Here is a 6376-nt window from a genome sequence, read left to right on the forward strand (position 1 = left end):
CATATCGTAGGCAATAAGAAAAACGTGCTACCTATTTTTATGTTTTTTATGATTGGAGACATAAAATTCCAATCACGGAGGGAACATGTCTTTGCTTGCAACAGACTCAAATGTCTGCCAAACTGCTCCGTGATGTTTTCTGGGAGGGACTTCACAGGTAAGATCTAGGATATAAAGGCTTGGAGGTCTTGGGGTAAGCTTCCCCCCAGCTCTGCCCCACACATACAAGTACTCATGGCAAAACTCTAGTCTTCATTAATCAAGAACAGCCTCTGACTTTTCCAGGAAGCTTTTTTGACATTTGAAAGGAAGAAATCAGAACAGGCACGCTGAGGCTTCTAGGCTAGAATTCTCCAAGGCAACAGCTGTTTGCATGTTTGTCTATCAAAGCCTGCATGTTAGCACAGTTGAGGTTTGGAAGATGAGAAGAATTTATGGGTAGCAGGGAATAGGTAAATGCAGAGAACAGCCTCTTAGAAGCATGCTCAAGAAGAAAAATATTAAACTCAAGTGAAAAAAATGACTTTCTCCTCCAGTGGTCTTCTCATGCTTGGACTGGATCTGAATTACTTTAGAAGTAAGAGAAGGTGAGGTTGTGATGCTTTTGGAAATTTTAAAGGGGCTTTGTTTGAACTCTCAGGAGCACTCAGGGAATGATGCAGCTTCATGGCATGGAGCAGAATCAGACATTAACACAAATAATTTCAACCTACTAAGCGGTGGGTCAGATAGAGGTAAATGTTTGAGCAGAAAATCCTGGCTAGGATATGTGAGTTGCTTTGAAAGCAGGTGTGAATTTGTTGTTAGAAAAATAGGAAAAGGCACTTTAGGCAAAGGGAACAATCAGTGCAATTGCATTTTGGCACAGAGGAGCCTAATAGGATTGGGGGATGTTGAGTAAGAGGATGTGGTTGGAGAAGGAAATGGCAGGGAAGAGCCTTGTAAGGAAGATCTCAAAGGAGTGGATCTAACAACTCTAGTTACTGGGCAAGTATTGAGGATATTTTTTTAGGTAGGGTATGTAATAAGATGTGTGTTTTAAAAATGTATGCGAGAGGCTGCTTCCACTGTTAATCTGGTTTGATAATTGCGAAAGCCTCTGTCGACAACAAAGATCTGAATGTTAGTGAGCAACAAGCCGACAAAATATTCCCCACACAATGACAAAAGCATATACAAAGGTGGCTGAAACATAGCTGGGTTTGAAATGCCTCTGTCTGTCCTGTCTGGGAGTGAGGCTGTCGAATCCCTCCCCTCCTCTGGGGAGGCTGTCTGTCCTCATGGGAGCCGCAGGTCCAATATTTTTGTGCTTGAAAACCCTGCCCTCGTCCACCCCAGGCGGCTCACAGCTTTCAACAGAGGATTACTTAGAATAACAAGTTAATGACTGTCCTTGGATTAGCTGAAGTTTGCTGGGAGAAGCAGACATGCTCAGAGTTCATTTCACTCAAGTCTGACGTGGGTGAGTTGAGAAAACACGTTGCAAATTCCATCCTAGGAAAACAAGAAAAGAATTCTTCACGATGTCAAAGCAGCATCACCGGAAGTGTGTGTGAAAATGGAGCTTCCTTTAAAACTATAAAAGCATTTGTGCCTATCTTCTGAGTGTGGCAGAGTGTCTGGGTGGCAGACCTACCTGGGAAATGACAAGCAGGCCATGGGCTCTGTTGTTCTTAGGGTCAAATGATCTGGGGCCCCACAGGAAACAGCTGGGGGTTTAAGTGTGAACCTGGAGTGGGGAGACGTGGATCAGGGGTGGAGTAGGGGGCAGAGGGAGACAGAGGAGAGGCACCGCTGACTCTACTCAGTCAACACCAGAGACCACCAACAGCCCAAGCTTCTAGCAGCTCCCTGCTCCCAGCCCTCCAGCCAAACCTGTCTGATTCTCTTCTAGGTTCTGCAGGTGTCTATGCTCCTTCATTCATTCACGCAATAAACATTTGATGTCCTGAACTGACTAGGGTTCTATTGGGAGGATCAAATGGCACAAAACCTCTCCACCAAATGCTAAATCTGGAGCCTGAAAAGCCCTTCAAGGGCACCATTCACTATGGAAAAAATATATAGAAACAAATACCACAAGTCGGGGAGCTATGCATAGACTTACAGCCTGTCTTTGTCTTAGAAAATCTCCAGGGCATTGAGGAGACTGAGTCAGCTGGCATTCTAGGAGCTAGGGGCAACTAGACCTAGACCCTGCAGGACAAGCAGAATGTGGCAAGTGGAAGGAAGCAGGGCAGGGAAAATAGCAACACCTTGCTTACCGGGAGCCAGCCCCTACCACCTGCTGTTTCGAATCTGAACCAAGCAAGGCCATTCCTATTCTAGTAGGAGGTGGAGCAAGAAGTCCGATTCCTTCCTCCTCATAAGCACCATGATTGCAAAGGCTCGGAGTTTTTTTTTTTTTTTTTTTTTTTAACTCATAAAAGATCATTTTTTTTTGTTTTGTTTTTGTTTTTGTTTTTGAGACGGAGTCTTGCTCTGTCGCCCAGGCTGGAATGCAGTGGCGTGATCTCGGCTCACTGCAAGCTCCGCCTCCCAGGTTCACACCATTCTCCTGCCTCAGCCTCCTGAGTAGCTAGGACTACAGGCGCCCACCACCACACCCGGCTAATTTTTTTTATTTTTTATTAGTAGAGATGGGGTTTCACTGTGTTAGCCAGGACGGTCTCCATCTCCTGACCTTGTGATCTGCCTGCCTTGACCTCCCAAAGTGCTGGGATTACAGGCATGAGCCACCGTGCCCAGCCGACTTATTTCTTAAGACTGAATAATATTCCATTGTGTGTCCAGCCCACATTTTCTTTATCCATTCATTGGTCAATGGACATTTAAGTTGTTGCCACATCTCAGCTATTACGAATAATTCTGCAGTGACACAAGAGTGCAGATATCTCGTTGAGTTCCTGATTTTACTTCTTTGGGATATATACCAAGAAGTGGGATTGCTGGATAATATGATAATTCTATTTTTAATTTTTTGAGGACACTTCAGCCTGTTTTCTAGAGCTGCTGTCCCATTCTACATTCCCACCAAAAGTGTTTTAAGTGTTCCAATCTCTCCACATTTTTGCCAACCCCTATCTTTTGTCTTTTTGATAATAGTCATCCTAATAGGTGTGAGGTGGTATCTCACTGTGGTTTTGATTTGCATTTCCCTGATAATTAATGATGTTGAGCATCTTTTATCTGTTGACCATTTGTATGTCTTCTTTGGAGTGGCTCAGAGAGGTTAGGTGACTTGTGAAAGTTATAGCTCAGTGGCCGAGTGGAGACCTGAACCCAGTTGATGTGATGCTTGTCCATGTTCCTCTTTACTTATCCATGAAGAAGGGGTCTTCTGGATTGAGCCAGGAGGTGAACTTAGAGAGGCAGTGGGAGATAAGGCTGGGGGGTCCTTCTGGTACAGCCAGAGGTCTGGTCTGGAAGGCCCTGCAGAAGAATTGCCAGGGATGCAGTAGGAAATGGGGATTTCCAGTCCCCACTAGGAAGGAAGAGCTTAACTAAAGCATGGGCTCCGGCTGCTCCTGAGCCCTGTCCTTCCTCCCTGGCCTTGTTGGAGACTCTGGCTCTGAAATCGGAAGTTCCTGAGGGATAAGAGTCAGGAATAGTCTGTTGAGAGTTGTATACAGGAAGTGAAAAACACAGGTAGAGCTGGAAATAGTGTAAACAGATGACCCTGTGCTTTTCCCTGGCCTCCTCAGGGGCAGCTTGGCCTGGCAGCCTGGCAGGGGACCTCAGCCTTCAGGGGCCTCAAGCTCTTGAAAAGAGCCACTGAGATGCTCTCTGCTGATGGCCTCCTAGCTCTGAGTCCTCCCGGGCTGGGAGGCTGTGGACATCCACTTTGTAATGAAGTGTATCTATTAAGGTAGCCCAGAGAGGCAGCAAACACTCAGGTTTTGAAGCCAGAGATAACTTGGGCTTGAATCTCACCTCATTCCCTTATTGGTTATATGACCTCAGGCAAGCAGCTAGATAGAGCTGGGCCTCAGCTGTCCATTCATTACCAAGAGGGCTGGAAGGTGGAGAGGTTGGGGTTATAAGATCTGTATCTCAGGATGTTCACTGAGTTCACATTTTTAAATTGAGCTACTACTCTGCACAGGCACTGTGCAAGATGCTAGAGATTTTGAAGGGTTCATGAGATAGCAGATAACATAGGTTCTTAACCAATGATGGTCACCCTTCCTAGCACATAGTAGGGCTTCATAAATGCATTTATAGTAGCTGGCCTCTAAGATGGCCCCCAATTACATTACTCCTACTTTTTTTTTTTTTTTTTTGAGACAGAGTTTCACTCCTGTTGCCCAGGCTGGAGTGCAGTGGCACAATCTCAGCTCACTGCAACCTCTGCCTCCTGGGTTCAAGCAATTTTCCTGCCTCAGCCTCCCGAGTAGCTGGGATTACAGTCATGCACCACCACGCCCGGCTAATTTTGTATTTTTAGTAGAGACGGGGTTTCTCCATGTTGGTCAAGCTGATCTCAAACTCCCGAACTCAGGTGATCCACCCACCTCCACCTCCCAACGTGCTGGGATTACAGGTGTGAGCCACCACACTTGGCCCCCAGTTACATTACTTCTTAGTATTTATGTTCCTGGGTAATCCCCTCTCACACTGAATCAGGACTGGTCCCATATGATCCAAAGAATAAGCAGAAGTGATGATATGTGACCTCTGAGCCAAAGTCATAAAAGCACTGTAGGTTCTGCCTTGGTATCTTGGACCACTCAGTCTAGGGAAGGCCAGCCACCATGCTATGGGAATACTCAAGCCACCCTGTAGAGAGACTCACGTGGAAACTCACTGAGGCCTCTTTCCAACTTGCCAGCTATGTGAGTGGCCACTGTGGAAGGGGGTCCTCCAGCCTCAGTCAAGCCTTCGGATGACAGCAGTTCAGCCATCGCCTGACCATAACCTCAGGAGAGAACTACCTCACCGCTCCCAAATTCCTTTCCCCCAGAAACTGTGAAAGGTGATATACATGGCTATGGCTGCTCTGGACCACAGGGTTTTGAGATGACTTGTAATGCAGCAATAGATACTTATATTCAATACCTAGAAATGACCACCCCCTCCAATCCTGAGGCTCCCCCAGGCCCCTCTGACCATTTTACTTGCCAACCCCAGTTCTGGGGCCACACTTCCCTATCTCTCTTCATCTCTGTTGGTTTCCTGGGCTGTTGAGAGCTACACTCAAGGCAAATCTCACTGCTCACCCACTACTCCCTGCTCTCCAACATCTTGGCTCCCAGAATTTGAGCATGCCCACTATGGCTGCCTGTCTTTCTCCATGTCTACATTCTCTACTGGCTTCATACCTTCCATCCCTCCCACAGCTCCCTCACCTGCTGCTTCACAGGTAAAGTGGAGGTCACCCACAGGGCTCGTTAGCCTCCATGGCACCTTTCCTCTTCTTTCTTTACAAATCTGTGTTTTCAGATCTGACAAGTGGATCTGACTGCCACACTGATAGACCTGGAATCCCTCCAGTGCTCTCCAATGCAGTGGGATACAACTGTAGTTCCTTTGTGCGGCGGTTAAGGAGGCACAACCCCCTCCCCAGACCTTATACTCTAGTGATTCCAGTGTGCTTAACCTCGGTTGGTAACTATTTTTACTTGATCTTACTGTTTTGAAAGATTTCGAGAAGTAGAAAATGAAGGTTGGGGAGGCATAGCAGGGACCCTATGTCAGAGAAGGTGGCTCCCCTAATCATGAAGGGCCTTTTGTGCCACACGGAGGAAACTTGAAAGTGCTTCTGCAGGTAATGGGGAGCCATCAAAGGCTTTAGAGCCAGGGCAAGAGTGTGGAGAGATAAATAATGAGCACATCAATGGTTTTACTTCATTAATGATGATTAGCAAAGTGCTAGGAAGCAGGTCTTTGGCACCTTCCTCTGGTCTTATTTACACCTGCACATCTACTCCTGTGCTCTCTTTTTTTGCAAAGGTCAGGGAGAACTTCGGGAGGCCCTTTCCTAAAAAACCGTGAATACGCGCAGGAGTCTGCAGCGGGCTCAGTTATGTCTAAGGCACTGGAGGAAATTGTCATGGATTTGACTCTCCCTCGGGAGGCAGAAGAAGGCAAAGAGACTGGGTCCAATCCTAACTCTGCTGATAGTATACTGAGGAACGACCCTCAGTAAATTCAAGACTCTTCCTGAGCCTCCATGTCCTCATTTGCAAAATGGGGTAACACTGCCTCCCCCACAGAGAGGAGATACTGTACACCCAGCAACTGGAACACAGTGGGAGTCAGTAAGCACTACTTAACACCAATCCTCATACCACAGTGACAGCTGGAGACAGGGAAAAATCCCATACACACAACAGCTCAAAAACATCCCTTTAGAAAAAAAAAAGAGAGAGAGAGA

This window comes from Homo sapiens, chromosome 2 (assembly GCF_000001405.40).
Source record: "Homo sapiens chromosome 2, GRCh38.p14 Primary Assembly".
Taxonomy (NCBI): domain Eukaryota; kingdom Metazoa; phylum Chordata; class Mammalia; order Primates; family Hominidae; genus Homo; species Homo sapiens.